Here is a 15,082-nt window from a genome sequence, read left to right on the forward strand (position 1 = left end):
TGGAGACAGGGTCTTTGTAGATAATGTTAGTGAAGATGGGGTTGTATTGGATTCGGGTGGGCGCTAAATCCGATAACTAGTGTCCTTTTTTTTTTTGGAGACAGAGTCTCGCTCTATCCCCGAGGCTGGAGTGCAGTGGTGCAATCTTGGCTCACTGCAACCTCCGCCTCCCGGATTCACGCCATTCTCCTGCCTCAGCCTCCTGAGTAGCTGGGATTACAGGTGTGTGCCACCAGGCCTGGCTAATTTTTTGTATTTTTAGTAGAGATGGGATTTCACCATGTTGGCCAGACTGGTCTTGAACTCCTGACCGCAGGTGATCCACTCGCCTCAGCCTCCCAAAGTGCTAGGATTACAGGCATGAGCCACCACACCCAGCTCTAGTGTCCTTCTCAGAAGGCCATGTGAAGGCACAGACACGCATGTGAAAGAATGCCCTGTGATGACAGAGGCAGTGACTGGAGCAGTGCAGCTGCAACCCAGAAAATCTCAAGAATTGCCAGGAACCATCAGAGGCCAGGAGAGGCAGAGAAGGGGTCTTTCCTAGAGCCTTTGGAGGAGCATGGCATTGCTGACACCTTGATTTTGGACTTCAGGTGTCCAGAACTGTGCAAGAATAGATTTCTGCTGTTTTTAGCCAGCTGGTTTGTGGTAATTTATTATGGCATCCCTGGGAAATGATGAATACATTTTCCTTTGCAGGAGAGGAGCCCTAGGATGTGTGACACATCCAAGGTCATGTAATCGACTGGTGGCCAATCCCCTATTCCAATTTAGCTTTTATTTTTCTTTAAGAATTGTATTTGCGGCCAGGCGTGGTGGCTCATGCCTGTAATCCCAGCACTTTGGGAGGCCAGGGTGGGTGGATCACTTGAGGTTAGGAGTTTGACCAGCCTGACCAATATGGTGAAACCCCATCTCCACTAAAAAAATACAAAATTAGCCGGGTGTGGTGGCACATGCCTGTAATCCTAGCTACTTGGGAGGCTGAGGCAGGAGAATTGCTTGAACCTGGGAGGCGGAGGTTGCAGTGAGCCAAGATGGTGCCACTGCACTCCAACCTGGGCAACAAGAGCGAGACTCAAAAACTAAACAAGCAAAAAAGTTAAAAAAAGTTAATTTGCTTTCCAGCATTGTCATCCTTTCTGAATGTGGAAATAAGGTTTCTTTTCTATTGCCAAAGTTCATTCTGAAGAAAGAATTCTTTTCCTATTGAATTATGAAATATATATGAAGGGACAATTTGGGCTTTAGAAATACTTTGGACTCTGAAGTTTTTCAATAGATTTACTGCTGGTTCTTTGATATTCCAAAATATTCTCTTTTTTGTCTTTTTTTTTTTCTTTTTTGTGGAGAATGGGGTCTTGCTATATTGCCCAGGCAGGACTTAAACTCCTGGGCTCAAGCAATCCTTCTGCCTCTGCCTCCCTAAGTGCTGGGATTACAGGCATGAGTCACTGCACCTGGTCTGGTATTCCAAAACATTCTAATAGCTTATTACTTTTGAGAGATGAGGGCTACCCCCTTCAAATGTTGAAATCACCATTTGTTTCCTTATTCTGAGCAATTTTCTGAAGGTAAGCCGAGTCTTGCTGGGGATATTGAATGTAAAACTGTCTTTAAAGTAGATCCTTTGGTAAGAAATGTATTGATCACTATTTTGGGGTTTTAACTGACATCAAATAATATGAAGCATATGTGAGTTTTTAATTATTTAGAAGTTCCTAACCCTTTTTTGGACCCTATCTCCCTTCAAGAAACTGATAAAAGGCCAGGCGTAGTGGCTCACACCTATAATACCAGAATTTGGGAGGCTGAGGCAGGAGTTCTATCACTTGAGCCCAGGAGTTTGTGACCAGCCTGGGCAACATAGTAACACCCTCATCTCTACAAAAAAATTAAAAATTAGCTGGGTGTGGTCGTGGGCACCTGTGGTCCCAGCTTTGGGAAGCTGAGACAGGAGGATTGCTTGAGCCCGGGAGGTCAAGGCTGCAGTGAGCCATGTTCACACCAGTGCACTCCAGCCTGCGTGACAGAGCAAGACTCTTTATCTCAAAACAAACAAAGACATGGATAAAAGCTATGGATTCTCTCCCATAGAAAACTGCACACCCTCATAACCTTTTGCACCTACTCTTTTTTTTTTTTGAGACAGAGTTTCGCTCTTGTTGCCCAGGCTGGAGTGCAATGGCTCGATCTTGGCTCACCACAACCTCTGCCTCCCAGGTTCAAGCAATTCTCCTGCCTCAGCCTCCCGAGTAGCTGAGATTACAGGCATGCACCACTACGCCCGGCTGATTTTGTATTTTTAGTAGAGATGGGGTTTCCCCATATTGAGGCTGGTCTCGAACTCCTGACCTCAGCTGATCCACCCACCTCAGCCTCTCAAAGTGCTGGGGTTACAGGCGTGAGCCACCGCGCCCGGCTGCACCTACTCTTAGAGAATTCTCAGGCCCCACGCCTTACCCCAACTTCTGTTACCAGTGGTGAATCCAATGGGTCTGCAGCAAACTTGATGCTTGCCTTCTCAAAGACAGAACTCAGCTGAGGGGCAGAGGTGGTTTTAAGTGGTTTTAAGGCACAGGGAGAGACCAAGGCAAGTTTTAGAGCAGGAGTGAGAGTTTATTAAAAAGTTTTAGAGCAGGAACAAAAGGAAGTACACTACACTTGGGTCAGGCAGGCAACTTGAGAGATCTAAGTGCCCTGCCTGACCCTTAACTTGGGGTTTTATGTATTTGGCATAGTTCTGGGATTTACGTCTCATCTCCCCTGATTCTTCCCTTGCAGCAGGCTGTCCGCGTATGTGGTGACCTGCCAGCACTTGGAAGGGGTCGCATGCACAGTGTGATTACTGAAGTTGCGCGCATGCTCACTTGAGGCATTTTTCCCCTTACCAGTCGTGCGTTCCCAGAGGAAGGTAGGTCATATACTGGTTAAATTCCGCCATTTTGCCTCTTGGTGCGCATGCTCCAGGCTGCTTGCCCAGCTCCTGAGATCTTATCGGGAAGCGGCTGATCACCAGATCAGGGTGTTTTGTATCTATTGAGAGACTGTCCTTGCTTGGAGCTGGCTGCAACCAATTATTATTTTACAGAGACAGTTTAACAACCACCTGACCATCACCTGATGGTAGCCTGACATTCCTGTGGGGGCCCTCACCTGTCCTGCTCATGTTTGCCTAGCTCCCTACTCTAACATTTCCACTCTGTGGACCCCAGGTTGAGATCTTCTGCAGGGAAGACTGTCCTCAAATAGCCTGCTGGGGAGACATCTCCTTCCCGTTTACCTTTCCATTTGCCCTTGCGGTGTTAGGCAAAGGCTGAAGCTGGCCTCTGTGGCAGAGGGTTTCTTCCCAACACGCCAATGACGCTGGTGGAGAGTCTTAAAAACAGCTGTGCTGGGGAGAGTTCTTGGTGTGTACCTTTCAGAGACCTCCTCCTTAAGACTCTCAAAGACTGAGTCAGGCCAGTGGGAGCCTGGCAGCAATTCTTAGGGGACAGTGACAGCTTTTTGAGGAGGACTAATTGGCTTCTAGGGCTGGAGGCCACTTGGGTCTGACAGACTGCCCTGCTGCCATCCCTCCAGGGCACCCCCCACTCCCTTGCCTCAGGGCCTTCCTGCACTTCTTCCTTTTGTCCTCAATGTTCTTCACCCCACCTTTTCCACTGGTACCCTCTGCCTATGGTCAAGGCTTTGGTGAGACCCACTTTCCTCTTAGACCTTCCTGGATCCCCCAAAGTCTGTGTTGGAAGCCCCTCCCATGTGCCCTTGTTTGAGCTTTTAATTTTCCACCATGACGCTTGTCACACTGCTTTGTAATTGGCTCTCTGTTAGTCTGCATCTCTACTGGGTTGTACCTTCCAGGAGGACAGCTGCCATGTGACTCTTGTAATCTTCCCACCGCCAACACCCAGCACAGCGTCAGGAACACAGAGCATGATGAGCACAAGCTTGTTGAGCAAACAGACAAATAACTGGATGCTTCTGTGCAGAGTTTCTCAACCTGGCCATTATTGGCATTTGGGACTTGATCATGCTTGGTCGTGGGAGACGGTTCTGTGCCTGTAGGATGTTTAGGAGCATGCTTGGTTTCTACCCACCAGATGCCGGGAGCACACCCACCCAGCTGTGACAACCAAAAATGTCTCCAGACACCATTCCAAAACCAGCGGGAGACAAAATCGCCCGACAGTCGTTGCTTTAGTGAGTGAATGTTGACCTAAGCGTCACTTCGCCTGTCTTGAGTCTAGGTCGGGGAGTGGGTTCAGTTAGCCAATCAGAGAACGCTGATGGGGCGACCAGTATATGCTCATGAAATGGGTGGCTGACCTCTTGGGGTCAGAAGAGGGAAAAGTTTTACTGTGTGTTGGCTAAGGACCATTTTAAGTCCTTCAGTGACCGATTACCACATGAGAACACAAGAGGGCGCTCTAACTAATGAGTTCCGCGGCCGAGAAAACTCCTGGAGTGGGTGCTCCTGGGATGCTTCAGGTTTAGACACCGGGGTTACGGCAGCTGCCGAGGAAGGCTAAAGCCAGCGTCCTGGATTCAGACAGACCTTTTAGCCATTAAATCCACTAAGAAAGATCCCTGCGCATGAAGTTTCCTCCTCGGAAATATAGGCAGAAGGGAAAGTAATTTTAAACTCATGTGTGCTCCACAGGCCGGGGGCGGTGGCTCATGCCTGCAATCCCAGCACTTTGCGAGGCCAAGGAGGGAGGATCACTTGAGCCCAGAAGTTCGAGACCAGCCTGGGCACCATGGTGAAACCTCATCTCTGCAAAAAAAAAATTAAAAATTAGCCAGCTATGGCGGCTCACGCCTCTGGTCCCAGCTACCCAGGAAGCTGAGATGGGAGGATCGCTTGAGCCCAGGGGTTCGAGGCTGCGGTGAGCCATTGTTGTGCCACTGCACTCCAGCCTGGGCAACAGAGCAAGCCCCTGTCTCAACAAAACAAAACAAAACAAAAAATTCAGTCGTGCTGCATAAGTAAGGCACCAGGAGTAGGAATAGGGTCTTTGCAGCTCCCGTGGCAATTGCCCTTCTCTGGTGGTGGCAAGGGACTAAGGAACTCCCTGGACACAGGGGATCTGGCTGTCCCCAGATCATCAACAGAGACATGAAGGTCGTTAGAGGTCGTCTGATCCTTTGACCTCAATCTGAGCCCACCACTCAGAAAACCTGGAAATTGTATGACATTTTCGTGATACAACTCGGTGTGTGTGTGTTGGGGAAAGGAACCAACAGCTTTCATCATATTGTCAAAAGAGTCTAGGCTGGGCATGGTGGCTCACGCCTGCAATCCCAACCCAAAGGCCTGTGGAGCACACATGAGGACAAGGCGGGCAGATCACCAAAGGTCAGGCATTCGAGATCAGCCTGGCCAACGTGGTGAAACCCCATCTCTACTAAAAATACAAAAATTAGCCAGGCGTGGTGACATGTGCCTGTAATCCCAGCTACTCGGGAGGCTGAGACAGGAGAACTGCTTGAACCCAGGAGGCGGAGGTTGCAGTGAGCAGAGGTTGCGCCGCTGCAGTCCAGCCCGGGCAACAAGAGCGAATCTCCGTCTCAAAACAACAAAACAAAAACATAGACCTGCTCGGTTCTCTCTGTGACTTCAGAGGCCCAAGGAGTCCTCAGCACTATAGATGCATGTGGCCCCTCAGAAGACAACATTTCACAGATCTGCAAAGAGCAAAGGTCAAATTTATTTAATACAACATCCACGAGGGTCCCTGCAGCTGTGTCACTGAGGCAAACAGGAAAAGTGATTTTGGCTAGGCGTGGTTCTCATCTGTGAAATTCCACAGCGCAATGACAGCAGCCTCTCTCCCACCCACTCAAGACACTGTCAGGAATGTCTTAAGACCTCAGGAGACCACTTCTTTAGCAAGCAATTTTGTTTTTTGTTTTTTTTGAGATGGATTCTCACTCTGTCACTCAGGCTGGAGTGCAGTGGCGCGATCTCCGCTCACTACAACCTCCGTTTCCTGGGTTCAAGCGATAATCTCACCTCAGCCTCTTGAGTAGCTGATACTACAGGCATGCGCCACCACGCCCGGCTAATTCTTGTATTTTTAGTAGAGACAGGGTTTCATCAGGCTGGTCTCAAACTCCTGACCTCAGGTGATCCGCCCACCTCAGCCTCCTGAAGTGCTGGGATTACAGGCGTGAGCCACCTTGCCTGCCCTGGCAAGGAATACATTTTTAAAAATTAGTAAGAAACATACACATTTCAAGTTTTCAATTAAGAATAATATTTGCTGATGGCACCATCTTCCTGTCTTTCAGCCTTCAGCATGGTAGAGGAAAAGAGAAAGAGTGTAGACAAAAACAGTTGAAGAACATCTGTGCTTGTTCCACCTTCATTTTCTGTTTTGTGCGTTGCCTGAATGAACGGTGTCTTCAGGTTGGTATTTCACAGGCGGTGCTCCCAAGTAGTCTGGTTTTCCCATTTGTGGAGGGCGAGGTCATAGAGGGGACAGGGGGAGGCTGTCTGGTCAGCACTGTGTATTTCCAAAGAACAAGGACTAGCCAAAACTACAAGCCTTTGAAGGACCAAAGGAAAAGAGAAAAAACCAGCCTCTAACCAGGCCATGCGCTAGAAATGATTGAGTATAAAAAAGAAAATTGGTTTCTGTGTATGAGGGTGCATGGAAAAGGTCTTTATCTCTGCACAAAACAAAATATTCAAGTTTCAGAATATCCCAATGGCCTTGCCCTGGATCTCCTCTTGTGCTCTTCCAATTTCCAAGGATGTTCCAACTTGGTGGAAGGAGGGTATGTGGGAAATTCAACAGCCCCTCTGTATCTCTTTCTACCCAACATTAACTTAGCAGGATGGATTTAAGAACCGGCAGCTTAGCCTGAGGAATTGCTGTGTTCTGTGGGAGCAGGGCAGGTTCATAAATAAGTGCACAGAGGTCTTGAAATACAGGGATTATCTGTTCTTCTCGGAACATGGATGTCCTTCCAGGGATGTGCATCTGGCCTTGCTGTCTAAGTTCCATCAAGGGAGCCTTCCGTTCTCTGTAGCGACAAGAAACAAGGCAAGTTATGATCACACCTCTCAAGATTGAAGATTGCCCTGGTGGAGAGAAATGCAAAATGACAGCACTTCTCAAAGAAAATGCAAAGCAGGGCTGTCACACACTGGTCCCCCACCCTGCAGGGTTCTCTCTGTGACTTCAGAGGCCCAAGGAGTCCTCAGCACTACAGATACACGTGGCCCCTCAGAAGACAACATTTCACAGATCTGCAAAGAATAAAGGTCAAATTTACTTAATACAACACCCACCAGGGTTCCTGCAGCTGTGTCACTGAGGCAAACAGGGAAAGTAATTTTGGTTAGGTGTGGTTCTCACCTCTGAAATTCCACAGCACAATGACTGCAGCCTCTCTCCCACCCACTCAAGACATTGTCAGGAACGTCTTAAGACCTCAGGAGACCACTTCTTTAGCAAGCAATTTTTTTTAGATGGATTCTCACTCTGTCACTCAGGCTGGAGTGCAGTGGCGCGGTCTCTGCTCACTACACCCTCCCTCTCCTGGCTCCTGCCCGTATGTATTTCTCCTTCTCTCCATGCCTGCTCTGTAGGGACCATAGCCTCTGTCCCTGCATACATGTTGGACATCAATCACATCAGTCCACCAAGTAACTTCATCAAGCACCCATGTACGCCCAGCACAGCGTCCCAAGGGTGCCCCACTTACCCACAGAAGAAGAAAGGCAACTTTGTAAGAGATCTGACTTCTAGCTCCAGTTCTGTCTCTAGCTAACGTGAGATGTACCCGTTTGAGGCCTGTTTTTTAATTTTGAAAATGAAGGACTGAACTTAGATGGTCCAACTGAAATGTTTTAAAATGATATGATTCTACCTTAAAAAGAGAATGAAATTCTGATATATTTTCAACACAGGAAAACCTTGAAAACGTTATGCTAAATGAAATAAGGCAGACATGAAAGGACAAATATATGATTCCACTTATGTGATGTACCTCAAATAGTCAAATTCATAGAGACAGAAAGTAGACAGTGGTTGCTAGGGGTTGCTGGAGGGGCAATGGGGAGTTAGTGTTTAATGGGTACAGTGTTTCAGTGGCTGCTCTGCCTATGGAGTAGCCATTCTTTTGTTTCTTTACTTCTCTAATAAACTTGCTTTCACTTAAAAAGAAAAAGCTCTGGAGATGGATAGTGGTGGTGGTTGCACAGCAATGTGAACGGACCTAATGCAACTGAATTATACACTTTAAAATGGTTAAGTATACACTGGAAAATGGTGAATTTGCCGGGCGGGCGCAGTGGCTCACGCCTGTAATCCCAACACTTTGGGAGGCCGAGGCGGGTGGATCATGAGGTCAGGAGTTCAAGACCAGCCTGGCCAACATAGTGAAACCTTGTCTCTACTGAAAAATACAAAAATTAGCCGGGCGTGGTGGCGTGTGCCTGTAGTCCCAGCCACTCGGGAGGCTGAGGCAGGAGAATGGCGTGAACCCGGGAGGCGGAGCTTGCAGTGAGCCAAGATTGCGCCACTGCACTCCAACCTGGGCGACAGAGCAAGACTCCGTCTCAAAAAAAAAGAAAATGGTAAATTTAATATTATGTATATTTTATGACAATTAAAAAAAAGGATTCCTGGCTGGGCATGGTAGCTCATCCCTGTAATCCCAGCACTTTGGGAGGCCAAGGTGGGTGGATCCCCTGAGTTTAGGAGTTCCAGAACAGCCTGGGCAACATGGCGAAGCCCCATCTCTATCAAAAATGCAAAGAATTAGGCATACATGGTGGTGTGCACCTGTAGTCCCAGCTACTCAGGAGGCTGAGGTGGGAGGATCACTTGAGTCTGGGAGATGGAGGTTGCAGTGAGCTGAAATAGCACCCCTGCACTCCAGCCTGGGTGATAGAGTGAGACTTCATCTCAAAAAACACACAAACAAACAAAAAAAGCAAAAAAACACCCACAAAAGGATTCCTGGATTCCTTCTGCCATCCTGTAGTGCTCTTTAACAGCTTCAAATGGTATTTGTGTCACCTATCCACCTATCAGTGCCTGGACCCTTATCTGACCCACACTGTTCTCTATGCTGGGGATGCAAGAAGCTGTCCCCAAGAATTTTATATTGTATCAATTATTGATAAACAACACCACTATGAAGTAGAAGGTATAAGAGGTCTCAACAAACTGCAGAAGGGGTTCAGAGGCACTGAGAGGGCTCTGGGCTGGGCAGTGGGGGATTCACAGAAGCAACTCTGGAGTCAGCCTAAAGATTGGATTTTGACAAATGGAAGGAGCCCTTGGAGGGAAAAAGAGCAGGGCCTGCTGGGAGATACCAGAGTAGAGGGGGGCCCTGGGCAACAGTGGGCCCTGAAGAGCAGGCAGCACCTAAGTCCACTATTCTGGACCCTCCATGTGCACAGGACACTCTGCTGCAGGTGGAACTCAGCAAGGCAGAAGCTGGAGATGGAGGATGACCCAGGGTCTTGGGACCTCCACAGCCAGCCTGGCTGGCTTCCTGAGGGTGAGCTGGGATAGTGTCTCCATTTTGTTTCAGCCCTGCTGGGTCCAAGGACCCTTGGGGAACAGGATGCAGGGCCGAGGTGCCCCAACTAGAAAGCCAAGGCTCTGGCCCCTCCTCTGCCAGGAGAGCCCCATGCAAGTGGGCCAAGCAAGCCGTGCTGGCCCCAGAGGCTGGAGGCCTGCCAGCGCCGGCAGCCACCCTGCCCTATTTCCTCTGCTCTGCCTGGATGGGGGAGACATGACTCTGGTGTCCAGCCTTTCTGTGGGCCCCAGACCAAGTCCCTCCCCAGACACCTCCGCTCTCTCTCTGTGGGGGCAGCCAATGCCTGGGGCACCATTGCAGAACCAAAGCCACAGACAGGAAGGGCTGGGCCACAATCAACAGGGCCTTAGGGATTTTGAAGTAAAGGTTAACACGCTCACATCCAAGGTCTGGGCTTGCTGTGCTTAAATCAGAAGCCAGCCATCAGCCACCCAAGTGCAGTTGTGAAATCGCCCTGCCTTGTACCCGGAATATGGTGTGGTCTCCCTCAAAGGTCATTTTGATTTCAACACACCCTGGGATCTCTAGTTCCTGCTTCTACAAAGTGCTCCTGTGGGCACTTGCAATAGACCAGGTCTATGCCAGGTGCTCATTCAACCCTTGCAACAACCAAGTGAGGGAGTTTATGATTCCCAGTTTACAGATTAGGAAGTAGAGGTCTTGAGAGGCCAAGAAATTTGCCCATGGTGACATGGCTAAGAAGTGGGAAGTCAAGTGTTAATGTGGGTCTCTGATTCCTAAGTCAAAGCCTGGCCTTGGTTGAATCCTATGCCTTGGGTAAGCAACTGCTACATTCTCCATATGTGGCAGGGTCATTTCATGGCCAAATCAAGTTAAGTCCCCCATCCACACCTACTATTGCCCAAGTGATGAAAAGAGCTTGAGATCAACCAGCTTTTATATGGTGGTTTGCAGCTTGCAGCTTTTATATGGTGGTTGCAGTTGCTCATTTCATCCTTAAAATCCTAATAGGTTGCTCTTATCATCATTGTCATCACCATCTCCACTTTATAGATAAGGAAGCTTGAGCTTGAGGAAGACAGGCTCACCCAAAAGACAGCTGGAAAGCTGGAGCTCCCCTCCCATCCCCTGATCCTAGCACCTGGACAGTTTCCACTGTAGCCCAGCTGCCTCCTGGCCTCCAGGAAGGGGGGAGGCGAGCTATAGCTGCCAATTGCCTTTCTTTCTGTAAGAAGGCAGGGTCCTTTCCAAGATCCCAAGACTCTCACAAGTCCAGATTCACCCCTTTCATTTAAGTACAGGGTGTTCTCTTCCATGCTATCTGTCTGCGTCGGCCACACACACAATTTATAAACAAGGTAAAAATGGCAGAGGAAAAATGAAGTCAGAATGTGCCATTGAAGCAAGTCAAACAATACCAAATTAGTCTTTGGCTACGTGGCTATCTCATTGTTAAGATATTTCCTCCAATGTTTTCAGAGGCAACGGCCATTAAACAACTGGGAATGATCGCCAGGTTTGATTTCAGGAAGGAAATCTCCTCCCATTTCCCCACTGGGCAATTCAATTAATTTTCTCCTGACCCACACCAGCTGATTATTAGGGAAGCTATACCTGCTTCTTTTATAAACAAAACCCATTTGCTTAAAGGTTCAAAATTCCTTTCCCAACGGCTGGAAACCCTGTGCTCCCATCAAATGACTCTATTCTTTTTTCTGGGGGGACAGGACCAGTCATGGGTGAGCTCTCAGAACCATCCTGGGAGCAGACTTTGAGGCCCAAGGGCCAGCTTCTGGGTAAAGTTCTGTCTGGCCTGGAGCTCCAAGCCTTTGTCCAGAGACACCCTTTGGATCCAAGACAAAGTAAATAAGTTGGTCCTACAGGGTGTTTTGGGTGGACCCAGCCATGTTTATCGCTTCAGGAGAACACATCTGTGTCCCGCACTGCCCAGGGAGCAAAGACCTCATTTTCCACTCTCTCAAAGCCATTATTGCTGGGACAGCAACTTCACATCTTGGAGGGAGTCTCTGTCGTGACAGAGGACTGGCCGCAGAGTATAGAGGCCTGGGCTCTGTTCCTCACTCTATTAGCCATCCAGGTGACCCCAGACACGCTATTCTACCAGTGCAGGCCTCAGTTTCCTCATCTGTAAATTGGGCTCCTTGTCCCAGTGACACGATAGTCTCTGATTTCAGGAGTCTGAGTGGGTTTTGGCTAGGAAAAAAAACAACCATTCATTTCATTCCTCTTTTCCTTAAATTCATAGCTTTCTTCCATAAAAAGAATGTCAGTGGCTTCCTGTCTGTCAAAGGCATAATGAGCTCTGTTTTACAAGAGTCCAGACATGGGCAAAACAAAGGAAGCCAGGGGCCCACTGGAAGAGCTACCAGAAATCTTGCTGAAAGTTCTTCCCAGACCTAAAAGAAGTTTATGCGGCAAATGCCTCATTTCTTCAGATATTAGCTGCCCAGTTAACTCCTGCATTGCTGGGTAGCTCACAAAAAGGTTGGGATTGGAAGACACGTCTTTGCAAAAGTTGAACGTGGGCCTCTGTGTCTTTCATAAACCCTCCCATCTGCCAAATAGCAGATTCCTAACTCCATTTCCTACAGAATGAAGCTTCTTAACAAGGCATGTAAATCCTTTGGATTTAAGCCCTGACTTATCTTTCTCCCGTCACTTGTCACTGTCACACTCTTCTTTTCCCATCCCACACTGCTTGAAACTGGTCATCCCTCACCCTTGTGCTCCTGCTGATCTTTCTCCCTCAATGCTGCCATCACTCCATTCATTCTTCATGGCCCATTCCAAATGATTCCTTGGGGAAGAGGCCACTAGCTAGGTCTCTGTTCTGTGTTCCCATAGGCTCTGGCATAGCTCACTTTGCTTTATGATAAGTGATCACATGTCTGATTCCCTCATCAGAAGGTGAACTGAGGTCAAGAAGCTTGGGTGTCTCCTGCAGCTGATGGCCTGGTGTGTAGGGGGTAATTAGAATCGGCTAAATTGCAATGAGCTGTCAGCTGCTCCACTCCTCCAAGCATACACCCTAGATCTGCCTCACTTCCAGAGCCTAGACTTTGGCGTTAAACGAAATGTGTGCTTTGCTTGTTTGGCGCTAAGCACCCCAGAGTCCCAATCCCTTCACGTGTGGGCTGAGATGTAATGATGGAAATTGCAGGAGAGAATATTCGAAATCAGAACTGGCCAAGGCTAGTCAGAGAAGCCCAGGGCTTCTGGTCTGAAACAGACTAGGGAGCGGGGAAGAATTCATGTGAATGCAGGACGTGGGTGAGTCTGGAAATATTTCACTGTTCAGTGGAGTACTTTTAAATATAATGTATATGAAATGTGTACTTACAGAGTATCTGCTTTCCACGGCATCTACAAAACAAAGGATGACATGGCAGTGAGCAACGCAAATAACCCAGTTCAACTGCCCCAACAACATCACAGGGTCAGGAGCAGGTCGAGAAAAGAGGGAGGAGGCGAGAGCCAGGAGACATCAGCCGGCAGGTGCCCTTAGAGGTTTATGGCTCCTTTGTGCAAGACAGCTTCCCCGGGACCCTCTAGCTCCACATGACATGCGCATAAAGTCCCTGGCACTTCATTTAAAATTTTCTTTATTTTTTATTTTTTGAGACAGAGTCTCGCTTTGTCACTCAGGCTGGAGTGTGGTGGCGCCATCTTGGCTCACCGTAACCTCTACCTCCAGGGAATTCTCCTGCCTCAGCTGGCACTATCTCGGCTCACTGCACCCTCCGCCTCCCAGATTCAAGGAATTCTCCTGCCTCAGCCTCCCAAGTTGCTGGGACTACAGGCGCACACCACCATGCCTGGCTAATTTTTTTTGTATTTTTTGTAGAAATGGAGTTTTGCCATGTTGGCCAGGGTGGTCTCGAACTCCTGGCCTCAGGTGATCTGCCAACCCTGGCCTCCCAAAGTGCTGGGATTACAAGTGTGAGTCACCACATCTGGCCTCATTTAACATTTTAAACAGTTTTTTAGAAATGTAGTATCACGGCTGGGTGTGGTGGCTCATGCCTGTAATCCCAACAGTTGGAGAGGCTGAGGCAGGCGGATCACCTGAGGCCAGGAGACCAGCCTGGCCAACATGGTGAAATCCCATCTCTACTAAAAATACAAAATTAGCCAGGCGTGGTGGTGGGCACCTGTAGTCCCAGTTACTCGGGAGGCTGAGGCGGGAGAATCGCTTGAACCTAGGAGGCAGAGGTTGCAGTGAGCTGAGATCGCACCACTGCACTCCAGCCTGGGCGACACAGCAAGACTCCATCTCAAAAAAAAAAAAAAATTAGTAGCACATATTTTTTTAAGAAAAAAATGAAAACTATGGAAAGTAGGAAGTAGCAGATAAAAATGATATCTGGCCTCATTCTCCAAACCCTGTTGATACTTTTTTTTTTCCTAGTCATTTTCCACTACGATTTGGCTTTTTTGGGGGTGGGGAGCAGTTATAATTATACAGTATATGCCATTTTATAACTTAACTTTTTCATATAACATGGCTTTATAAACTTTTTCTGAAAACTTCTTAAGCATAATTGTCCAATTAGCTACTAAATAATTGTTAAATGGATGTACAACTATTGACTTCACCAATTCCTTACTTTAAAAATGTAGGTGCTTTCCAAGTTTTTGCTCTTTTCAATAACACCACCGGTATCCTCTTTGGGAATAAAGCTATTTCTAGATTTCATACTATTTTGTCAATCCCTTCCAGGAGCAGGCTCAACAGAGGAGGAGGCAGAAGCATTGCCAACGCTCTTAGCAGATCTGGGCAACTGTTTCCCCTTCCCCTCAGGAGTCTCCTCTCAACTGTGTGGGAGCCCACACCACCTTCTTTTTTTTTTTTTTTGAGACGGGGTCTAGCTCTGTCACCCAGGCTGGAGTGCAGTGGCTCACTGCAACCTCCATTTCCTGGGTTCAAGCAATTCTCCTGCCTCAGCCTCCCAGGTAGCTGGGATTACAGATGCCCACCACAATAGCCGGGTAATTTTTGTATTTTTAGTAGAGATGGGGTTTCGCCATGTTGGCCAGGCTGGTCTCAAACTCCTGACCTCAGGTGATCCACTCATCTCAGTCTCCCAAAGTGCTGGGATTACAGGCATGAGCCACTGTGCCCAGTCTCACACCACCTTCTTGGCAGGCGCCATGCTGTGTTTGCCTGGCCCTGCCAGTCTGCAGTTGCGCAAATGGTCCCAACCGGATGTCAGCAAGAGGACAGTGAGGCTGAGAAAAGCCAATGAGAGCAGGAAGCTCTGCATAGGTGGTGGGTGATCCCTGCCTGCATTCATTAGAGATGGTGTTTCCTATGAGAGGCAAGTGACGGGTATGGCTTGCCCTTCTGGAAAGGACCAGGACCCCACCCAATGGTCAGTGGCCCACATGCTGGGGCAGATCCCCAAACAGCTGACTGTGGACCCTGACTTGAAGACAGAGAAGTCATGGGGACCTCACCTGCTGCCTGGGGGAGACCCCAAGAGGAGATGTGGGCATTGGGGATGGTTGCTGTTCTCGAAGGTGGTGGAGGGAATGG

The 15,082-nt window shown here is 48.4% G+C and overlaps 1 protein-coding gene across 8 annotated transcripts in view, besides 2 other annotated features; it reads right to left on the bottom strand.

The window, feature by feature from the left end:
• Nucleotides 2,602–15,082, bottom strand: part of PECAM1 (platelet and endothelial cell adhesion molecule 1) — a 71,446-nt gene continuing 58,965 nt past the window's right edge. For 5 of the 8 annotated variants that reach the window (XM_017024741.2, XM_017024739.2, XM_005276882.2 and 2 more), the window contains 2 exons: nt 12,887–12,909; nt 2,602–7,032 (listed from right to left, as the gene is read on the bottom strand). In XM_017024741.2, the coding sequence (XP_016880230.1) occupies nt 7,003–7,032; nt 12,887–12,909 (53 nt within the window). In that variant the 3' untranslated portion in view covers nt 2,602–7,002. The remainder of the gene's footprint in view (nt 7,033–12,886; nt 12,910–15,082) is intronic. The other 3 variants (XM_047436251.1, XM_005276883.3, XM_005276880.2) reach the window with 1 other exon arrangement.
• Nucleotides 4,224–4,435: a silencer, noted in NCBI's record as "fragment chr17:62398397-62398608 (GRCh37/hg19 assembly coordinates)". NCBI's record gives its function as "represses an EF-1alpha promoter that drives an FKBP-Casp9 reporter gene in an ReSE screen in K562 erythroleukemia cells {active_cell/tissue: K562}" and the evidence as "EXISTENCE:reporter gene assay evidence [ECO:0000049][PMID:32094911]".
• Nucleotides 9,595–9,674: an enhancer, noted in NCBI's record as "active region_12589". NCBI's record gives its function as "activates an Ori minimal core promoter by ATAC-STARR-seq in GM12878 lymphoblastoid cells {active_cell/tissue: GM12878}" and the evidence as "EXISTENCE:reporter gene assay evidence [ECO:0000049][PMID:35858748]".

Source organism: Homo sapiens, chromosome 17, assembly GCF_000001405.40.
Source record: "Homo sapiens chromosome 17, GRCh38.p14 Primary Assembly".
In the NCBI taxonomy this organism is placed as follows: Eukaryota; Metazoa; Chordata; class Mammalia; order Primates; family Hominidae; genus Homo; species Homo sapiens.